The sequence below is a fragment of the Homo sapiens genome, chromosome 3 (genome assembly GCF_000001405.40).
Source record: "Homo sapiens chromosome 3, GRCh38.p14 Primary Assembly".
In the NCBI taxonomy this organism is placed as follows: domain Eukaryota; kingdom Metazoa; phylum Chordata; class Mammalia; order Primates; family Hominidae; genus Homo; species Homo sapiens.
The window spans coordinates 197,750,109-197,773,254 of record NC_000003.12 but is presented as its reverse complement, the minus strand read 5'-3'; the positions used below and the strand labels follow the sequence as shown (position 1 = coordinate 197,773,254).

The 23,146-nt window shown below is 41.9% G+C and overlaps 1 protein-coding gene across 3 annotated transcripts in view, besides 1 other annotated feature; it reads right to left on the bottom strand.

Moving 5' to 3' along the window:
* Positions 1-23,146, bottom strand: part of FYTTD1 (forty-two-three domain containing 1) — a 38,064-nt gene that overhangs the window by 14,342 nt on the left and 576 nt on the right. The window contains exons 1-4 of one of the 3 annotated variants that reach the window (NR_027840.2): positions 22,433-23,008; positions 16,698-16,829; positions 4,668-4,816; positions 3,011-3,123 (exon numbers count right to left, since the gene is read on the bottom strand). Coding sequence is in view for 2 of the 3 variants with exons in the window: in NM_001011537.3 (NP_001011537.2) it covers positions 3,011-3,123; positions 4,668-4,816; positions 16,698-16,829; positions 17,421-17,445 (419 nt within the window). In the remaining variant the exon portion in view is untranslated. Of the gene's footprint in view, positions 1-3,010; positions 3,124-4,667; positions 4,817-16,697; positions 16,830-17,420; positions 17,586-22,432; positions 23,009-23,146 lie in introns of those variants that run through there. The other 2 variants (NM_001011537.3, NM_032288.7) reach the window with 2 other exon arrangements.
* Positions 22,866-23,135: a silencer, noted in NCBI's record as "silent region_15092". NCBI's record gives its function as "represses an Ori minimal core promoter by ATAC-STARR-seq in GM12878 lymphoblastoid cells {active_cell/tissue: GM12878}" and the evidence as "EXISTENCE:reporter gene assay evidence [ECO:0000049][PMID:35858748]".

The window sequence follows — 23,146 nt, the reverse complement described above, 5'->3', positions numbered from 1 at the left end:
GCTACTGAGATTTGATTAACAAATACCTCCCTCCGAAGCATAGCACATAACCACGTGTTAATTTCAAACCACTTTATCTTCCAAATATTCAATCCTCTAATATCCCATATATCTTCTGAAGACATTAATAATCACATTTTTAGTGCTATTTCCTATATTTGGTGAAAACATAACTTTACAATTTATAGGATTAGTACAAAGAAAAACCACACATAGGCCAAACTGAAGACGTAAAATAAACTGAAGACCAAAAATAAAGAGAAAGGTTTGAAAAATAACATCTCCTCCTCCAGCTTTCTCTTCCTTCCTCACTCAGAAACCATTATGTATTAACATAAACCATAGAGGCCAGGCATTATGGCTCACACCTGTAATCCCAGCACTTTGGGAGGTTGAGGTGAGTGGATCACTTGAGGTCAGGAGTTTGAGACCAGCCTGGGTAACATGGTAAAACCCCGTCTCTACTAAAAACACAAAAATTAGCCAGCCTTGGTGGCACACGCCTGTAGTCCCAGCTACTCAGGAGGCTGAAGCATGAGAATTGCTTCAATCAGGGAAGCAGAGGTTGCTGTGGGCCGAGATCACGCCACTGCACTCCAGCCCAGCGACACAGACTTCATCTCAAAAAATATACAAACCACAGAAAAACTTATACTCTTCTATTTCTTGTTCTTTCATGCACAGAACAATGCTCTTAATTATGACTGTCACCAATTCTTTTTTTTAATTTTAAGTTCTGAGACACGTGCTGAACGTGCAAGTTTCTTATGTAGCTATACATGTGCCATGGTGGTTTGCGGCACCTAATTTCTTTTGTTTTCTATAGGAAGTTAGTGAAGTACGAAAAATTAAAATTTCATATTTATCTATGAAATATTCAATCCTCTAACATTCCATGTCTTCAACTGATGTATTGATAAATATGAAACACTATATAAACGAGTGTTTAACAGATTCCCTAGTCTTACCTCCAATCTTTCAGAGATTCAAGTTCAAAACTGCCCTAGCTAACCCAATTAACATGTAAGTCTCACGTAAATGATGGGTTCTTATTTGAGAAGGTCCCCTTTCACAAAAGGTACTATCAAGTGATTCCCAAAAGATGATGGTTAAAACTGCAATTCCAGCCATTCCATTTTTTGTTTTTTTATTTTTATTTTTTTGAGACAGAGTCTCACTGTCACCCAGGCTGGAGTGCAGTGGCACCATCTTGACTCACTGCAACTTCCGCCCCCCAGGTTTAAGCGATTCTCCTGCCTCAGCCTCCCAAATAGCTGGAACTACAGGCATGAACCACCACGTCCAGCTAATTTTTGTATTTTTAGTAGAGATGGGGTTTCACCATGTTGGCCAGGCTGGTCTCGAACTCCTGGCCTCAGGTGATCCACACGCAGCGGCCTCCCAAAGTGCTGGGATTGCTGGCATGCACCGGTCACCACATCGGGCTAATTTTTGCATTTTTTTTTTTTTTTTTTTTTGAGACGGAGTCTCGCTCTGTCGCCCAGGCTGGAGTGCAGTGGCGGGATCTCGGCTCACTGCAAGCTCCGCCTCCCGGGTTCACGCCATTCTCCTGCCTCAGCCTCCCAAGTAGCTGGGACTACAGGCGCCCGCCACCACGCCCGGCTAATTTTTTGTATTTTTAGTAGAGACGGGGTTTCACCGTTTTTAGCCGGGATGGTCTCGATCTCCTGACCTCGTGATCCGCCCGCCTCGGCCTCCCAAAGTGCTGGGATTACAGGCGTGAGCCACCGCACCCGGCCTAATTTTTGCATTTTCAGTAGAGATGGGGTTTTGCCACATAACTCCTGACCTCAGGTGATCTGCCTGCTTTAGCCCCCCAAAGTGCTGGGAATACAGGCATGAGCCACTGTGCCCAGCCACTGCATTTTTTAAAAACCTCATTCCAGGTTTTTTTTGCTGACTTATCTTCCACGAAAGATAAATAAATAATACTTGAAACTGAATAAGGAAACTTCACACCTCATCAACTTCATCTACTTTGTCCTTACAGAGAACAGAATGCCATAACAACAGATCATAATTTTTCTTTTCTTTCTTTTTCAGAGATGGGGGTCTCACTATGTTGCCCAGCAGGTTAGCCCTGAATCCTGGGCTCATGTGATCCTCCTGCCTCAGCCTCGTAAGTAGCTGGGACCACAGGCACATGCCACTGCACCCAGCTCACAGGCCATAATTTTTGGTTTTTATTATTCAATTTAGTATAAAAATAATTTCAGTTTAACAAGTGTTCATGAAGAATTCTCCCTTTCTAGTTTGATTTTTCCACAAATAACATACATTGTGATTCAGTGTTCTAGTAAGAGCCATCCAGACTGAGTAACAAATTGAGATTTCAGAATTCTCAATTTTGAATAATTCCCACTAAGATGTTAAGAGTTCTACCAGGGCTGGGCACAGGGGCGCATGCCCGTAATCCCAGCACTTTAGGAGGCTGAGGTGGGAGGATCACTTGAGGCCAGGAATTGAGACCAGCCTGGACAACATGGTGAGACCCTGTCTCTATTAAAAAAAAAAAAAAATTAGCAGGGCATGGTGGCATGTATCTGCAGTCCCAGCTACTCAGGAGGCTGATGTGGGAGGATCGCTTGAGCCCAGGGCAGGCCAAGGCTCCAGGGAGCAGTGATGGCGCCACTGCACTCCAGCCTCAGCAACAGATCGAGAAGCCCTGTCTCAAAAAACAGGGAGAAAAAAAAGAGAGTTCTACTAAAGTGATCAGCTTTTGCAATTTTATTCCATATGTCAAAGAGGTAAAGAAGCAGAGTGATGCTTTTTAAAAAGCTTATATCGGTTAACTTCATCAGTAAGAATTCATCTAATAAACAAGCTATTACTGGATACATCCATGTGGATGTTCAGATAGACATCCCAAATATCTGTCTTGAAAATGACCAGATAACTAAAAAAATCACTGCAAATCCATTCTTCACACCACTTAATGCAGGAAGTGTTTTTAATGCAAAATAACACATTATTATTTTTGAGCACTTACTTTCTGCTTAGCTGGCTAGGTCTCTTGAGAACTGCTACTGGTTTCCTCTGCCCTTCATTTTGTCTCAGAAGGTTTGCCTTCCTTTTTAACACTGGAAAATATTGTTCTATATTCTATCAGAAGGCAAGAAATTATGTTAATCAAATTGCATTTTTCTATATACTCTACTACAATAAACATTTCAGATGCAGAATGAACAAGGATTGACAACTGCTTGAATGTGCAGATAAGGGAGACGGAGAAACAAACAACTTGAAACTGTACAGTCTACATGACTGAAAAGATGAAAACCCCACATTATATTTAAAATATGTGAGGTACTCGGGGGACCCACAGGTGATGGGGAATCGTGGCTCTGGAACTCAAGAGAATCAGAGAGCCAGAGATATTTAAAATATGTGAGGTGCTCAGGGGACCCACAGGTGATGGGGAATCGCGGCTCTGGAACTCAAGAGAAGAATCAGAGAGCCATAGATATAAATCAGGGAATAATTTCTATAAACATGATTTTTGATACTAATAGATTTAAAAAAGCCAAGTTCCAAAACAAATGCATGCCAAAAAAAAAGAAAAAGTGGGGAAGTTATGACAGCAAAGACGCTGGAGTAGACGTGGTTAGAGGCGAAAAGTATCATAAAAAACAAAAGCACATGAGACATCCTCTTTTTCTTCCTCCACATGCATAAATTAAATCCATCATTAAAGCCTAATCAGATATCCATATTGTCCATAAAGACTTCTCTAAAGTTCTTGACAAATATGCACCTTATCTTATACTTTATCTGGATTCTTCTATTAAGTATATGAGAAGTACTTTATAAATATCCATTGACTAAATCACATTAAAAATTCTGAATCTGGCCAGGCACCGTGGCTTACGCCTTTAATCCCCACACTTTGGGAGGGTGAGGCGGATGGATCATGAGGTCAGGAGTTCGAGACCAGCCTGGCCAGCATGGTGAAACCCCGTCTCTACTAAAAATACAAAAATTAGCCAGGCATGGTGGCACGCACCTGTAGTCCCAGCTACTAGGGAGGCTGAGGCAGAAGAATTGCTTGAAACCAGGAGGTGGAGGTTGCAGTGAGCCGAGATTGCACCACTGCACTCCAGCCTGGGCGACAGAGCAAGACTCTGTCTTGAAAAAACAAAAACAAACAAACAAAAAAACTCTTCATTTTCGGCCAGGCACGGTGGCTCACGCCTGTAATACCAGCACTTTGGGAGGCCAAGGTGGGCAGATCACTTGAGGTCAGGAGTTCGAGACCAGCCTGGCCAACATGAAAATTAGCTGGGAGTGGTGGCACACACCTGTAATCCCAGCTACTCGGGAGGCTGAGGCAGGAGAACTGCTTGAACCTGGGAGGTGGACATTGCAGTGAGCCAAGATCACATCACTGCACTCCAGCCTGGGTAACAGAGCAAGACTCTATATATAAAAAACAAAAACAAACAAACAACTTACTTATATTTGAGAATGTGGAAATTTAGGTATTCTTTATGAATGGCAATGATTTTTATTTAGATATTAAATTTTTTTATATCAGTCCCAAAGTACTACATAAAAACAAATAAAATTCTCTCTTAAGCTTATTCACAGAAATGTTAGTACAAATAAAGGAAAAGGATATCTAATCCAGGATTAAGCCATCATCCTACCTTGTCACTTAGAGGTGGACGATTCATAGGACTAATTCCTTTTCGAATTCCAGTCGTTTTCCTAGCTGCAAGGCCAGTGATAACTCCATTAGGACGTCTCTTTCCAGGCATTACTCTTCCTCTACGATTCAGACTAGTCTTACCAAAACCTATAGGAGGGCAAAAACAGAAGAAAATGTCAATTTAACAATTCAATTGGGACGGTCACAGGATATTCTATTTCCCAAGGAAGGGGGAACTTATGAACATTTATTATGTTATTATTTATGTTTTTTAAATTACATAAAATACTTCATTTTAAAAAGGCAATCTGCTGCATTGGGAAGGGTTCTGTGGCTATACTGGACTCTAAATAACTAGAGGATTCTCACATGTTGCCTCTGGCCATACTCTTTTGTCATTAGTTTCTCAACAAACAGGACAGTCTGTCGAGTCTTTACCTGTGCATTATGGTAGATACTAACCATATGTGGCTACTGAGTACTTGAAGTTAAGCACTAGTCTGAATCGAGGTATTTCAAGGTAAAATATTTCACTGATGATTTTATATAAATTATATAGTGAAATATTTTAAAGATATTGGGCTAAGTAAAATATATTCATATGTGCTCAATCTTTATTGAACAGTGCTGATCTAGAGTGGAATCACTATCTCATCTCCAATTTACTTATGACAGCACACTGCAATCTGGCTTCATTTTCAACCCTACTCCATTCAAATTGCTTTTGCTAAAGTTGCCAGTGAGTGCCAATAGACACATTTTAATCTGTGGCATGTGACATTACCAACTTTGGTTTTCCATTACATATCTTACCTATTTAAATACTTTTTTAAGGCTGGGCACAGTGGCTCACGCCTGTAATCCCGGCACTTGGGAGGCCAAGGGAAGAAGATCCCTTGAGCTCAGGAGTTTAAGACCAGCCTGGGCAACATAGTGAGGCCTCGCCTCTAAAAATTAGTTGGGCATAGTAGCACATGCCTGTAGTCCCAGCTACTCAGGAGGCTGGGGTGAGAGGATTGCTTGAGCCCAGGAGTTCTAGGCTGCAACAGAGTGAGACCCTGTCTCCAAAAAATAAATAGATTAAAAAATAAATAAATATATAAATAAATAAGTAAATACTTTTTTCTAGTTAAAAAAAAAAAAATAGCAGCCAGGTGCAGTGGCTCACACCTGTAATCCCAGCACTCTGGAAGGCCGAGGCAGGTGGATCACAAGGTCAGGAGATCGAGACCATCCTGGCAAACACAGTGAAACCCCATCTGTACTAAAAATACAAAAAATTAGCCAGGCGTGGTGGCGGGTGCCTGTAGTCCCAGCTACTCGGGAGGCTGAGGCAGGAGAATGGCGTGAACTGGGAGGCGGAGCTTGCAGTGAGCCGAGATCGTGCCACTGCACTTCAGCCTGGGCGAAGAGCGAGACTCCGTCTCAAAAAAAGTAAATAAATAAAAAATAAATTGGGAGTGTCTCTGAACCTATTCTGGTTCAGGGGCTGCCCGTTAAAAAAAAAAAGGGGGTAAATTAAAAAATAGACATGTTCACTGCAGAATTCCTAGAAACACATAAAGTACAAATAAGAAAATAAACATCACCCATCAGCCTACCACCTAGAGATGACCACTGACATTCTGTCTTTCTAGTCTTTCTTTTACTTGTATACATATATTTTAAAAGTTAACATTTTTGGTTTTAACTATTTTTAAGCAACTCAAGACTATCATCTGTAGTAATTCTCAATTTTATAGTAGTGCCTCAATTTTATAGTAGAAGGTGAACTGAGTCAATCTTTCGGCAACTACACAACTCTACATACTATTTTGTAGCCCTACACTAATCCTGTACTGCAGGCTGGGCATGGTGGCTGATGCCTATAATCCCAGCACTTTGGGAGACTGAGAAGGATGGATTGCTTGAGCCCAGGAGTTCGAGACCAGCCTGGGCAACATGGCGACACCCCATCTCTAGAAAAAATACAAAAATTAGCCAGGTGCAGTGGCGCGTACCTGTAGTCCCAGATAATAGGGAGGCTGAGGCAGGAGGATCATTTGAGCCTGGGAAGCAGAGGTTACAGTGAGCCAAGATCACACTGTACTCCAGGCTGGGGTGACAGAGCAAGACCCTGTCTCAAACACACACACACACACACACACACACACACCAGTCTCAAACACGACACACACCTATATTGCAAAAATATTATCCCATGTTTTTGACATCCTTTTATCGCATTACTTTTTAATATGCCATACTTGATCCAAACCAACTTTATACTAATCATTTCAGTTAGTTCTAATTATAAATAATATCACAATAGAACCACAGATATATTTTTAAACACATCCATGATTATTTTCTGAAGATGTGAGTTTCTAGAAGGTGAAATGCTAGGTTAAACAGTAAAGCAAACTCTTTTTTTTTTTTTTTTTGAGACAGAGTCTCGCTCTGTTGCCCAGGCTGGAGTGCAATGGCATGATCTCAGCTCACTGCAACCTCCACCTCCTGGGTTCAAAGAATTCTCCTGCCTCAGCCTCCCGAGTAGCTGGGATTACAGGTGCCTGCCACCACACCCAGTTATACATATACATATTTTTTTGAGACAGAGTCTTGCTCTGTTGCCCAGGCTGGAGTGCAGTGGTGTGATCTCGGCTCAATGCAACCTCCGCCTCCCAGGTTCATGCCATTCTCCTGCCTCAGTCTCCCAAGTAGCTGGTACTACAGGTGCCCAATACGATGCCCGGCTAATTTTTTATATTTTTAGTAGAGACAGGGTTTCGCTGTGTTAGCCAGGATAGTCTTGATCTCCTGACCTTGTGATCCGCCCGCCTCAGCCTCCGAGAGTGCTTGGATTACAGGTGTGAGCCACTGCGCCCGGACTATTTTTGTATTTTTAGTACAGACAGGGTTTCACCATGTTGGCCAGGCTGGTCTCAAACTCCTGACCTCAGGTGATCTGCCTGCCTCAACTTCCCAAAGTGCTGGGGTTACAGGCGTGAGCCACCACGGCTGGCTTAAAGTCTTTAGTTTTTAAATCAAATTATTGCTGCCCTATGTGTGGTTTCCTTCTAAAATTGCAACTAGATGAAGATTAAACCATATTGGGAAAAACTGTACATTAAAATTAATTCCAATATACAATGACTTGCTATTTGTGTTAAATAATGTAACAGCTACCCTTCACTGTGCTAGGCACTGTGCTGAGTACTATAATTTGTATGATAATCTGATAAGACTGATGCTAACAATCTTCCTTGAGAAAGGAAGAAACTGGAAAATATTCCAAAAGAATAAGTGAGTTTGTAGGGCAAAAAAGAAACGATTAAAAGGAGGACGAACCCATTATTATACCAAAATTTCAGGACTAGATGAGAAAGACTGACAAGAAACTCTCATAAATAGGAATCAAATGGATTAAAACAAGATCTTAAGTATGAAATAAGGTTGGGTACCGTGGCTCACGCCTGTAATTCCAACATTTAGTGAGGCTGAGGCGGGTGGATCATTTGAGGTCAGGAGTTCGAGACCAGCCTGACCAACATGGTGAAACCTCGTCTCTACTAAAAATATAAAAATTAGCCACCAGGCGTGGTGGTGCACACCTGTAATCCCAGCTACTGGGGAGGCTGAGGCATGAGAATCGCTTGACCTGGGAGGCGGAGGTTGCAACGAGCCAAGATCGCACTACCACACTCCAGCCTGGGTGACAGGGCAAGACTCCATCCTCCCCCCCCAAAAAAAAAAAGTATGGAATAGAACTCCATCCCTTGGCGCTTTCTATTTCTATTGATAGTACAGTACATTGGTCCCATACTTATCAATCTTTCTGCTGTTTTTTTTTTCTCTTATCCAAGGTGTTGCCTCCTCTGCTTTTTTTTTTTTTTTTGGGACGGACTCTCGCTCTGTCACCCGGGCTGGAGTGTAGCGGCGCGATCTCGGCTCACTGCAAGCTCCGCCTCCCGGGTTCACACCATTCTCCTGCCTCAGCCTCCTGAGTAGCTGGGACTACAGGCGCCCACCACCATGCCCAGCTAATTTTTTGCATTTTTAGTAGAGATGGGGTTTCACTATGTTGGCCAGGCTGGTCTTGAACTCCTGACCTCGTAATCTGCCCACCTCGGCCTCCCAAAGTGCTGGGATTACTGGCGTGAGCCACTTGGCCCCGCCTCCTCCTCTGCTTTCTAATCAGGCCTATATGATTCGTTCTCCCACCTTTCTACCTTTGAACAAACTTCATTAGCTGTATCTGTTTTAGCAATGATTATATTCTTTACCCTTTCATTGTCACATTACATAAAGTAAGAAAAATGTATACATACTGCCCCAATTATCTCCCCTTCCCTCTTATGCTCTGTAACTGTCTTACATTCTAAAAAGCACTATGAAGGGGTACTAAAGACTTCATCCAATGCAACAGTCTTTTCTTAGTTTTCATTCATTGAGCCTCTCTGCAGAGTTCCAGAGTACCCACATTCTCCATGTACTTCAACTACCACCCTTTATGAAGACCCTTTTACATTTTCAGCTCCACCAGAGCAGTAGTTTAAAACCAGTTAGGTATCAGAATCATCCATGGAGCTTAAAAAAAATCCTCCAAGCCCTACCTCTACAGGTCCTGGTTCAGTAGAAATAAAGTACCGCCAGAGCGTCTAGTTCACAAAGCTCCGCAGGTGCAACTAAGGTTGACAACAGCTGAAACTAGAGAAAGACATTTTCATCTTTCTCTTGAATCCCAAGACTAATCTATTCATGAATTTCTTTCCACATACATCATATGTCCCAATAATTTCAGGAGCCTTATCATCTAAATAAAGATTTGAGGGATTTTCTGGGAAATGTCACATTCTACAGTATATGTAATCATATTATTGGCTCCTTTCCAAAGCAACATACAAATATTCCCAACTCTTCTACCTCTAGTAAGAACAGCATTCTCAAACTTTTTAGTCTCAGTACCTCTTTATACTCTTTCTTTTTTTTTGTAGAGACGGGGTCTCCCTATGTTGCCCACGCTGGTCCTGAAGTCCTTGGCTTAAGCAATCCTCTTGCTCTCACCTCCCAAAGTGCTGGGATTACAAGCACGAACCTCTTCATATGCTTAACAATTGAGGACTCCAAAGTTTTTGTGTCTGTGGGTTATATTTACTGCAATTAAAATAAAAACTTTTTTTTTTTTTTTTGAGACAAGAGTCTCACTCTGTCGCCCAGGCTGGAGTGCAATGGTGCGATCTCGGCTCACCGCAACCTCCGCCTCCCCAGTTCAAGCGATTCTCCTGCCTCAGGCTCCCGAGGAGCTGGGATTACAGCTATGTGCCACCACACCCGGCTAATTGTTGTATTTTTAGTAGAGATAGGGTTTTGCCATGTTGGCCAGGCTGGTCTCAAACTCCTGACCTCAGGTGATCCACCCACCTCGGGCTCCCAAAGTGCTGGGATTACCTGGGTGAGCCACCACGCCCGGCCAAAATAAAAACTATTAGTAAGATAGTTAAAAACCATTTCACTTAAAAAATAATAATAAACTCATTACACATAGGGTAAACATCTCTTTTTAAATGAAAAAGAACAAATTTTAACTTTTATTTTAAGGTTGGGGTACACGTGCAGGATGTGCAGGTTTGTTACACAGGTAAACATGTATCACGGGGGTTTGCTGTACAGATTATTCCATCGCTGAGGTATTAAGCCTAGTATCCACTAGTTTTTTTTTTGGAGACGGAGTCTCACTCTGTCGCCCAGGCTGGAGTGCAGTGGCCGCGATCTCGGCTCACTGCAAGCTCCGCCTGCCAGGTTCACACCTTTCTCCTGCCTCAGCCTCCTGAGCAGCTGGGACTACAGGTGCCCGCTACCACGCCCAGCTAATTTTTTGTATTTTTAGTAGAGACAGGGTTTCACTGTGTTAGCCAGGACGGTCTCGATCTCCCGATCTCATGATCTGCCTGCCTCGGCCTCCCAAAGTGCTGGGATTACAGGCATGAGCCACCGCGCCCGGCCTTTTTTATGTTTGAGACAGAGTCTCGCTCTGTCACCCAGGGTGGAGTGCAGTGACGCGATCTCGGCTCACTACAATCTCCACCTCCCAGGTTCAAGCGATTCTCCTGCCTCAGCCTCCCGAGTAGCTGGGACTACAGGTGCCCGCCACCATGCCCGGCTAATTTTTATATTTTTAGTAGAGACAAGCTTTCACCATATTGGCCAGGCTGCTCTCGAACTCCTGACCTTGTGATCTGCCTGTCTCGGCCTCCCAAAGTGCTGGGATTACAGGCGTGAGCACCGCGCCTGGCCTCATTATTTTTATTTTCCAAAACAAATAAAAATATTTAGTAAGAACAGTGGTATATTGTTTTTGGATCTCTTTGGTGTCTGCCTTAATAGAAGACAACTAGATTCTCACAACTGCTTGTTAAGGACTGAATGTTTGTAACTCTCCAAAATTCACATGTTGAAATACTAACACTTAATGTGATGGTATTAACAGGAGAGGGCTTTGGGAGGTAAAGTCATGAGGATGGAGCCACCATGAATGGGATTAGTGTCCTTACAAAAGTGACCCTGGAGAGCTCTCTAGCCTTCTTTCTGCCACACAAGGACATCAAAAGAAGTCCAAAGTCTGCAACCTGGAAGAGAACTCTCACCAGAACCTGACCTTGCTGACATCCTGACCTTGAACTGCTAATCTCCAAAACTGTGCAAAATAAACTTCTGTTGTTTATAAGCTACCTAGTCTATGGTACTTTGTTACAGCCCACTGAACTAAGATCCTGCTTTTGCATTCAATCTACTTTAATTATCAGACATCATGTAGACTCTGGAAAAGGCTACTGTACATTCCTGAGAGAGTAAGAGTCAAAATACAATTAACGCCTTAGTACTAACATGAAATTAGTTTTGATCTTGTGGATCCCCCATGTCTTAGGGATCCCCAAGGGTACCTGACGACATTTTGAGAACTCTATACCATTCCACCACTGAAGAACAACTCTATACATTCTAACACTGAAGAACAATTCTATACATTCTACCACTGAAGAACACTCTATACATTCTACCACTGAGGAACAACTCTACACATTCTACCACTGAAGAACAATTCTATACATTCTACCACTGAAGAACACTTTATACATTCTACCACTGAAGAACACTCTATACGTTCTACCACTGAGGAACAACTCTATACATTCTACCACTGAAGAACAATTCTATACATTCTACCACTGAAGAACAATTCTATACATTCTACCACTGAAGAACATGCTATACACTCTATCACTGAGGAACAACTCTATACATTCCACCACTGAGGAACAACTCTATACATTCTACTATTGAAGAACAACTCTATACATTCTACCACTGAAGAACAAGTATATACATTCTACCACTGAAGAACACTCTATACATTCTACCACTGAGAAACAACTCTATACATCCTACTATTGAAGAACAACTCTATACATTCTACCACTGAAGAACACTCTATACAGTCTACCACTGAAGAACAACTCTATACATTCTACCACTGAGGAACAACTCTATACATTCTACCACTGAAGAACAAGTCTATACATTCTACCACTGAGGAACAACTCTATACATTCTACCACTGAAGAACAAGTCTATACATTCTACCACTGAAGAACACTCTATACATTCTACCACTGAAGAACACTCCATAAGTTCTACCACTGAGGAACAACTCTATACATTCTACCACTGAAGAACAATTCTATACATTCTACCACTGAAGAACACTCTACACATTCTGCCACTGAGGAACAAATCTATACATTCTACCACTGAGGAACAACTCCATACATTCTACCACTGAGGAACAACTCCACACATTCTACCACTGAAGAACACTCTATACATTCTACCACTGAAGAACAACTCCATACATTATACCACTGAAGAACAACTCTATATGTTCTACCACTGAAGAACAACTGTATACATTCTACCACTGAGGAACAACTCTATACATTCTACCACAGAAGAACAACCCTATATATTCTACCATTGAAAAACACTCTATAAATTCTACCCCTGAAGAACAACTCTATACATTCTACCCCTGAAGAACAACTCTATACATTCTACCCCTGAAGAACTCTATACATTCTACCCGTGAAGACCCCTGAAGAACTCATACATTCTACCCCTGAAGAACAACTCTATACATTCTACCACTGAAGAACAACTCTATACATTCTACCACTGAAGAACACTCTATACATTCTACCACTGAAAAACAACTCTATACATTCTACCACTGAAGAACACTCCATACATTCTACCGCTAAAGAACAACTCTGTACCTTCTACCACTGAAGAACACTCTATACGTTCTACCACTGAAGAACAATTCTATACGTTCTACCACTGAGGAACAACTCGATATGTTCTACCACTGAGGAACAACTCAATACGTTCTACCACAGAGGAACACTCTATAAGTTCTACCACTGAGGAACATTCTATACGTTCTACCACTGAGGAACATTCTATACGTTCTACCACTGAAGAACAACTCTATACGTTCTACCACGGAAGAACAACTCCATACATTCTACCACTGAAGAACAACTCCGTATGTTCTACCACTGAAGAACTCCATACATTCGACCACTGAGGAACAACTCTATACATTCTACCACTGAAGAACACTCTATACATTCTACCACTGAGGAACACCCTATACATTCTACCACTGAAGAACACCCTATTCGTTCTACCACTGAAGAACACTCTATACGTTCTACCACTGAAGAACAACTCTATACGTTCTACCACTGAAGAACACTCTATACATTCTACCACTGAAGAACAACTCTATATGTTCTACCACTGAAGAACACGCTATACGTTCTACCACTGAGGAACAACTCTATACGTTCTACCACTGAGGAACAACTCTATACGTTCTACCACTGAAGAACAACTCTATACGTTCTACCACTGAAGAACAACTCTATACGTTCTACCACTGAAGAACAACTCTATACGCTCTACCACTGAAGAACACTCTATACGTTCTACCACTGAGGAACAACTCCATACGTTCTACCACTGAGGAACAACTCCATACATTCTACCACTGAGGAACAACTCCACACATTCTACCACTGAAGAACACTCTATACATTCTACCACTGAAGAACAACTCCATACATTCTACCACTGAAGAACAACTCTATACGTTCTACCACTGAAGAACACTCTATACATTCTACCACTGAGGAACAACTGTATACATTCTACCACTGAAGAACAATTCTATACATTCTACCACTGAAGAACACTCTATATGTTCTACCACTGAAGAACAACTCTATACTTTCTACCACTGAAGAACAATTCTATACATTCTACCACTGAAGAACACTCTATACATTCTACCACTGAGGAACAACTCTATACATTCTACCACTGAGGAACAACTCTATACATTCTACCACTGAAGAACACTCTATACATTCTACCACTGAAGAACAACTCTATACTTTCTACCACTGAAGAACAACTCTATACTTTCTACCACTGAAGAACAACTCTATACATTCTACCACTGAAGAACAACTCTATACGCTCTACCACTGAAGAACATTTGGGTTGTTTCTCCAAGTATTTACTGAGTGCCTAAATTATTTTTCACACACGAAGTTAAAGATTTCATTCATTGACTTGTTCAGCCATCAGAAATCATACCGCGGATCTGCAAAGAGCTCCTCTGTCCTACTTATTTCTCTTACCTCAAGCTAACATCCTCATTGACATTACAACGTGGAAATCTGAACTTTTTCCTAGCCAATCAGAGTTTAAGACAATCCTCTATCTCTGTACATTCAGTAACAGTGGCAGCTGTTCTATTTTAGCCCGTGTCACATGTAAGCAATAAACATACAAGGGCAAGCTCAATCTTAGGAGATCCTAAGCTGCCCCTAGATATCATTTATTTCAAGGCTCAGATCATAACATCCATAAAAGGAAAGCTTTTCTGACACTTCATGGACCAGATCATATTTCACCTTATCCATTAAATCACTCCTGATCTTCTTAGTACAAAATCTCTAAAGTCCTATAATACTATTTGAATTTCTCTTACAACATTTCTCCCACACTACCTTTTCCATCTTATCTCTAACACCGGAAATTAATTCCTTGAAGTAGAAGACCACATCTTTATGTACCCCCTAGGACCCAATCAGTTTAGGGTATCTATCAAGTATTTAACACTGAAATATATTCATGTTAAATATTTGATAAACATTAATTAATAAATATATTTCTGGTTCTATGAACTCTCAACAGTTATTTTAAAAACAAATAATACAAAAATATATAGTATGTTCAATAACATTTATAAGAAATATTTAGGCCAGGCGCAGTGGCTCACGCCTGTAATCCCAGCACTTTGTGGGGCTGAGGCAGGAGGCCGAGGCAGGTGGATCACCTGAGGCTGGGAGTTCGAGACCAGCCTGACCAACGTGGAGAAACCCTGTCTCTCCTAAAAATACAAAATTAGCTGGGCATGGTGGCGCATGCCTGTAATCCCAGCTACTTGGGAGGCTGAGGCAGGAGAATCGCTTGAACCCGGGAGGCAGAGGCTGCAGTGAGCCAAGATCGTGCCTTTGCACTCCAGCCTGGGCAACAAGAGCAAAACTCCGTCTCAAAAAAAAATTTAAATATAAATCACTGGAACTAAACTTCATTTGCTACAGTTAAATACCTGTCATGAAATTTACTCCCTTAGGTTCAACTATTCAAAAAATTATTAGAGATGAATAATTTTTTTTAAGGGCCCAATCTCAGTTATATGTACTTTTCTTGAGACAGAGTCTCATGCTGGAGTGCTGTGGTGCCATCATGGCTCACTGTGGTCTTGATCTCCCAGGCTCAAGCCATCTTCCCACCTCAAACTCCTGAGTGGCTGGGACCAGAAAGAGGTACCACCACGCCTGGCTAATTTTTAAATTTTTTGTGGAGACAGGGTCTCCCTGTGTTGCCCAAGCTGGTCTCAGATTCCTGGATTCAACTGATCCTCCCAAAGTTCTGGGATTACAGGCATAAGCCACTGTGCTCAGCTTCAGTTATACATATTTTGAGGATATAATGGGATATTAGCTGTAAACACAGAACTAATTATGTTCAACCTACTGGAGATTATTTTTATGTTTTTCAACATATAGAATAAAAATCAATTTGGAAGTTAGTTTGTCAAACATATTTTTACATATCTGAAAAAGATTTAGTTCTTTTATTTCAACAAATATTTATTCTAAAATTCTGATATTGCTGATAAAGAAGTTAACAAGCCATATATATTAGTGTTCAATTACTGCCTTCAATCAAGATGGTTATAAATAAGCTTCCAGATTATCAAAAATAACTAAATGTGTAGAGTTCCACATTATATCTAAAGCATTCATTTCTGAGTGTCAACTTTGGAAGATTTAACAAATCCTAAAGTTCTTGGATGATAAGATAAGGAGTCTGGAGGTCATTTTCTATGCAGAATGTAACAGTAGTCTCCACATACTTAAAGAGTTCTCATATACAAAAGAGAATTTGCTTTCTATAACTTTACCGAAGTGATAGGCATGCTTTAATCCAAATTAAGAGGCCAGGCACAGTGGCTCATGCTTGTGAGGTAGTATGCTCTTTCACTGAATATATTTAAGCTGGAGTTAGTCATCCATTAGACAGACTGTTAAAGGAACATCTCACTTGGATGAAGATAGGAGCTCATGATATATAAGATCCTTTGCAATTCTAAACTCTGAATATAATTTAGACTGTGTATAAACTGAAGTTACTTTTAAATGACTTACAACGTTTAAGAGACAGTGTTACGTCTATTGAAGGCTACTGAAATTTTTACCAGGTTTTAGATCTAAACAAAAACCTAGGCATAGAGGAAACACAAAACACAAAGAGTACTGACGCATTCCTCCACGTTAAGCATATGCTAAAGACAGTACACTATGAACACACAAATAACAGCTTTCCATTAAAGCTTACTTTCAAAACTTACCAGAATTCTGTTGGATTCCCCATCGCACTCTCATCCTGAATTGCTGGGCACCACTTTGCTGGAGGAGTCTTCTATTTAGTCTTGGAAAATTCTGCTTCTTCCCTTCCTTTCGATTCAACTTGATGATATCATCTATGATAGAGGAAATGTCAATTATTTTCATTTTAACTTAACTCAATTACTCAGTTTCGTTTTCTAGCTGATAGATGTCCTACGTTCCTAACTTCTTTTCTACTTTGAAAGCACTTCCATAAGAGGATAATAACAAGAATCAGCCATTTTACAATAGCCCAAAGCAGATCTACCAATTAATGAAGAGTGCTATTGGCCATAGTATTTCTTTACCTGATGAATCAAGCAGAAGCCTGTTTACAAGTTATTCCTACTTACTTCCCATAATCACAGAAGCCTCCAATTTCCTACTTACTTCCCATAATCACAGAAGCCTCTAATTTCCTACCTACTTCCCGTAATCACAGAAGCCTCCAATTTCCTACCTACTTCCCATAATCACAGAAGCCTCCATTTTCCTACCTACTTCCCATAATCACAGAAGCCTCCATTTTCCTACCTACTTCCCATAATCACAGAAGCCTCCATTTTCCTACCTACTTCCCATAATCACAGAAGCCTCCATTTTCCTACCTACTTCCCATAATCGCAGAAGCGTCCATTTTCCTACTTACTTCCCAAAAACACAGAAGCCTCCATTTTCCTACTTACTTCCCATAATCACAGAAGGCTCCATTTTTTAAAGATGACCCCCTTCCGGCCAGGCATGGTGACTCACACCTATAATCCCAGCACTTTGGGAGGCTGAGGTGGGCGGATCATTTGAGGTCAGGAGTTCGGGACTGGCCTGACCAACATGGTGAAATCCCGTCTCTACTAAAAATACAAATAAATAAATAAATAAATAAATAAATAAATAAATAAATAAATAAATTAGCCGGGTATGGCGGTGCATGCCTGTAATCCCAGCTACTCGGGAGGCTGAGGCAGAAGAATTGGTTGAACTCGGGAGGCAGAGGTTGCAGTGAGCCAAGATCGCACCACTGCACTCCAGCCTGGGTGACAGAGCGAGACTCCATAAAAAAAAAGAAAAAGTAAAAAAAGATGACCACCTTCCAATATATAGGTAATCAAAAATTAAACCATTCAACTAAAATACTAAATGTTGAAATTCAGCAAATATTTACTGAGCATATACTACATGCAACAAATATATGTGTCAGGTTGTGCTGTAACTGAAACAAAAGTAAAATACGGTCCCTTTTCTAAATAAGTTTAAAAGTACTGATGGAAACAGACATGCAAATAGCAAATACAAAATTAAACAAGTGCCATAATAAAGGTATAGTACAAAAAATACTAATGACTCACCTCTAGCAAAGTACTTCAAGTTACCTTATTTTTCTTTCTACACTGATCTAAGCCTCATTACTTCCAAACATACTTCCAAACTGCCCCAAGGTAATTCACAAACAAAAATACACAACAGAACAAGGTGAAGACCAGAAAACTAAATGTACTCCAGATTCCCATTTATATCTGTTAAAAGAGGTTACTAGAAGCCAAAAATACTCATTTAAGAAATATCCAGCTGGGCACATGCCTGTAACCTCAGCACTTTTAGAGGTGAGATGGGAGAATGCTTCAGCCCAAGAGTTCGAGACCAACCTGGGCAACACAGCAAAACCTCATCTCCACAAATAATTTTTAAAAATTAGCCAGGCATGGTGGTGCGTGCCCGTGGTCCCAGCTACCCAGGAGGCTGAGGTGGGAGAATTCCTTGAGCTCAAGTGGTCAAGGCTGCAGTGAGCCACAATCACGCCACTGCACTCCAGCCTAGGCAACAGAGCAAGACTGTCTTTCAAAAAAAAAAAAAAAGAAAGAAAAAAAAAAACCCACAAACATTTCCTCCATAGTCCTAATTCCAGTATTATTTCATAATTGAGAAAGCAAATAAAACAAAGAAATTGCATACAGTCAACAAATTCTTAATAAAACTCTATGAAACTAATTAAACTCAATTTTTTTGTCACTATAATTAGTCTTTCCAGAAGTCAGAGAAGGAAATATAACTTGAAGGTCCTTTGTAATATATTACTGTTCTACCTAACCAATCTCTAATCTTTAAGACTCTTAATTACACTCAAATATTCACACAAAATATCTCAAATCTCCCCAAAATATTTAGTTGTCTTCTTGAAATTAATGTCCAACTACGAAAAAGTTCATCAAAGTTAAGGGCACTCAAAAACTTTTGTAAAAAATTAAAAGGTCAACATCAGATATATAAACATGTATCTCAATAAGCATAAAGGGAATACCAAGGAAGACACTATTTATGAGACACCACTTTCCTTTCACAAAGTGCTACTTACTCTTCATCAAAAGTCTAAAATCTCAAGCCTTGAGAGTAAACCAAAAAAATGAATTTTGTCTGGGGAGCATTAAAAAAAAGAGGCAAAGTACAATTCTGACTAACAAAGTTCATCTTAAAATATAGCATATAGGCCGGGTGCGGTAGCTCACGCCTGTAATCCCAGCACTTTGGGAGGCCGAAGTGGGCGGATCATGAGGTCAGGAGATCGAGACCATCCTGGCTAATATGGTGAAACCCTGTGTCTACTAAAAAATACAAAAAATTAGCCGGGTGTGGCGGTGGGCGCCTGTAGTCCCAGCTACTTGGGAGGCTGAGGCAGGAGAATGTTGTGAACCTGGGAAGCCGAGATCGTGCCACTGCACTCCAGCCTGGGCGACAGAGCAAGACTCCGTCTCAAAATAAATAAATAAATAAAATAAAATACAGCATATAAAGTCTAAATATAACTAAAAATCAGAAGTAGCAGAGCATATTAAATATAAAATTACATTTCACATTTCAACATTTTACTACCTATATCTTCAAATAAGTCAAATGAGCTACCATGGCCGAGAGGATTCTTTCAATCTAAAAAAAGAAAACGGCTTTCTCCTGCCCAATGAATAGATACACAGGTATCAGAATTAAAAAAAAAAAAAAATTCCTTACAATGAGCTATTTTAAGTTTCTTCCATAGCACTAGAGGAATATACATGGTAATAGTAATAGCAGCAGTAGCAGCAGTGGTGGTGGTAAGTACTACAGCACAGGCACCAGCAATGTTAGTACCAACAGTTCTGACATGTATTCACTTAATTCACAACAATCCTATGAAATAAGTATCACCATAACACCGATTTTCAAATTAAGGAATTGAACCATGAGGCCAGCTATTGGTAAACTTGGTACTCTATGTGAAATTCATATACACCTGGCAAAGCCATGATTTAAAACAAAAAAACCTCTGCAAACCTGGTAAGATTAAACATTCACAAAGCATAGTAACTGCCTAGGATAGATGATGTCTAGGATAGAAATGGGATGATCTCTTCATCCCATTTCTGTAAAATTCTCACCAAAAGAAAGGCAATAGAGGGACTGCTGTATGTTCCTGGGGGAAAGAAAGATATCAAGCTGTTTCAGCTCTCCACAGCACTTCATTGCTACCTCCAAGAGAACTACCCCTCAGTTTTCTTCACTTGAACGTACTAATCATCAAACAAAACACATACAAAAAAGAAAACAGAAAACCTAGAAACGTAAGAAATCTAGGTGTAAAACAACTTGAGGCTCTAGAATCAGACTGAAATCCTGGCACCACCACTTAACTACCTTGTATGACTTCGAGCAAGTTACTTAATTTCTCTATGCCTCTGATTTCTGTAAAATGGAAATAACAACAAATAACAAAAGCATATATACAGACATACACACATATATATAGTGTATGTATAAAAACAACCAAGCCATATATAGACATACACACATATATGTAGTGTATGTATAAAAATAACAAAGCCATATATACATACACATATATATAGTGTATGTATAAAAATAACCAAGCCATAGACATACATACACATATATGTAGTGTATGTAGAAAAATAAAGCCATATATACATACACACATACAGTGTATGTATAAAAATAAAGGCATATATACAGACATACTACATATAGTGTATGTATAAAAATAAAAGCATACATACAGACATACACACATATATATAGTGTATGTGGAAAAATACAGTGCTGTGTACCAGGTCCTGTTCTAAGCAGTTCACATATGCCTTCTGACTCATTTAATGTTTTCAGCAACCCTATGTGGTAAACACTACTTACTGTCACCTTTCTACAGATGAGGCACTGGGAAATCATCTGCCCACGGTTACATGGTTACAAAGTGGCAGAGGCAGGACCTGAAAGGAGACAGTGTGGATCTGGATTCCATGCTGTCAATCACTAGGAGTACAACCCTCACAGACTTATCATGAGGATAAACTGAGTTAATATATAAAATGCTGGCCGGGTGCGGCGGCTCACGCCTGTAGGGGAGGCCAAGGCAGACAGATCACCTGAGGTCAGGAGTTCGAGACCAGCCTGGCCAACATGGTGAAACCCTGTCTCTACTAAAAATATGAAAATTAGCCGGCCACCAGCGCTGGCGTGTGCCTGTAATCACAGCTACTCGGGAGGCTGAGGCAGGAGAACTGCTGGAACCCGGGAGGCGGAGGTTGCAGCGACCCGAGATCACACCACTGCACTCCAACCTGGGCGACAGAGCCAGACTCCGTCTCAAATAATTAATTAATTAATTAATTTAATTTAATGCTTAGTCCAGGACCTGAACTGAGACAATGTGGTTCTGGGTTCCGTGCTCTCCATCGCTAGAATCCTCACAGAGTTATGACGAGGATAAACTGAGTTAACATATAAAATGCTTAGTACAGGACCTGGTAGGTAGTAAGCACTCAATAAATATTCATTATTACATTATTTGTTGGCCTTACCTCAAAAGGTTTCTCTCTCTTTTTTGCGGGGGGGGAGAGCGGGGGGAGACAGGGTCTCGCTCTGCCGCCCAGGCTGGAGTGCAGTGGCGCAATCGGCTCACTGCAACATCCGCCCGCGGGTTCCAGCTATTCTCATGTCTTAGCTGGGATTACAGGCGCGCGGCCACCACGCCCGGCTAATTTTAGTATTTTTAGTAGACATGGGATTTCACCTTGCTGCCCGGGCTGGTCTCGAACTCCTGGGCTCAAGCCATCTGCCTGCCTCCGCCTCCGCCTTCAAAGGGCTGGGATTGCAGGCGTGAGCCACCGCGCCCAGCCCCAGCTTTCTCATTTCTTACAAGCTCACTACTAACCAGCAGCAAGGCAAGACTTGAGGCCAAACCTATTATTTCTGATCATTTGCTTAGTTCACATACTGGATTCTGACTGTGGCAATCGTAGAAATCAATAGTTCCCATCTCACCTGGAACCAAAAACGTTCCAGATAAACCACAACAAAAGACACACAAGACAAATGGGAAGAAATGAAAACCGAAAGAAGGTTTCCAAGACAGTTATCACTCTAAAGACCGTCCTGGGAAAGGGTACGCCTCGGAATCCACTAGTCAGGTACTTTTCAAATATCCGAAAAACTGCCAGCCAAACACCTGGCAGAGCTGACTTACACCCAACGCCATCACTTGAATCCCGACAAAAATATTCGTACTTTTAGCCCACCTAAGCTAACCACAGCGGCTGGTGCCTCGGTAGTGTCAGGGCTGGATTTTAATGGAATCACCAACCTCCCGGTTTTTATATAATCGGCAAGAAACCACGCCACCCTCTCAGATGCGCTCAAGAACCCCACGCTTTACCTGGCTTCTCAGCGAGCCACAGCAATCATCTCTCCTTCAAAGATGTTTGCTTTCTCCCCCATTAGCTAGCTCTGAGGCCTGGAGAGGGAGACTGTGCTTTTCTAGGCAGCGCTCAATACACAACCACATCCCACAGGCGGCCGAGCGCTGCTTCCTTTCTGACAGACGCTCCGGGGCCGCGGCCGGAGGTGGCCCCGAGAGTCGCGCCCGGCAGCCATGGCCGGCGCCGGCCTGGAACGCCCGGCGACCAGGGAAAGCTCCGGAAGCGCTGGTTTAACCGACCGCAGCCCCGGCCGGGCTCTCCAAGACCTTTCTTCAGAGAGAACGGCTCGGTCGGACCATTCCCCTCGCTCCCCGATAACGCCCACCGCGAACGCGCTCCGGGGAAACCGGCAGATCTTTCCTCACAAAGAGCCGGCGAGCGGCGAGCCGTAGCCCCTCCGGGGAGAAGAGACGCCCCCCGCGACCCTGCGAACCTTCGGGCCCGCAGCGCCCCTGCCCCCGCCTCCACAGCCCCTCCTCCGACTGCCGCGGCCGAGGGGACGCCCGGGTCCCTCGCGGTCCAGCCGGGCACCTGGCGTCGAGCCTGCGCTCCCGGCTGTCCTCCGGGCCTCCGCTCGGGTCCGCCCACCAGCGAGAAAACTCCGCCGGCAACTGCTGCCGACCGCCCCTGCCCCCACAAACCGCGCCGCCGGCTTCCACCCGCGCCCTCCC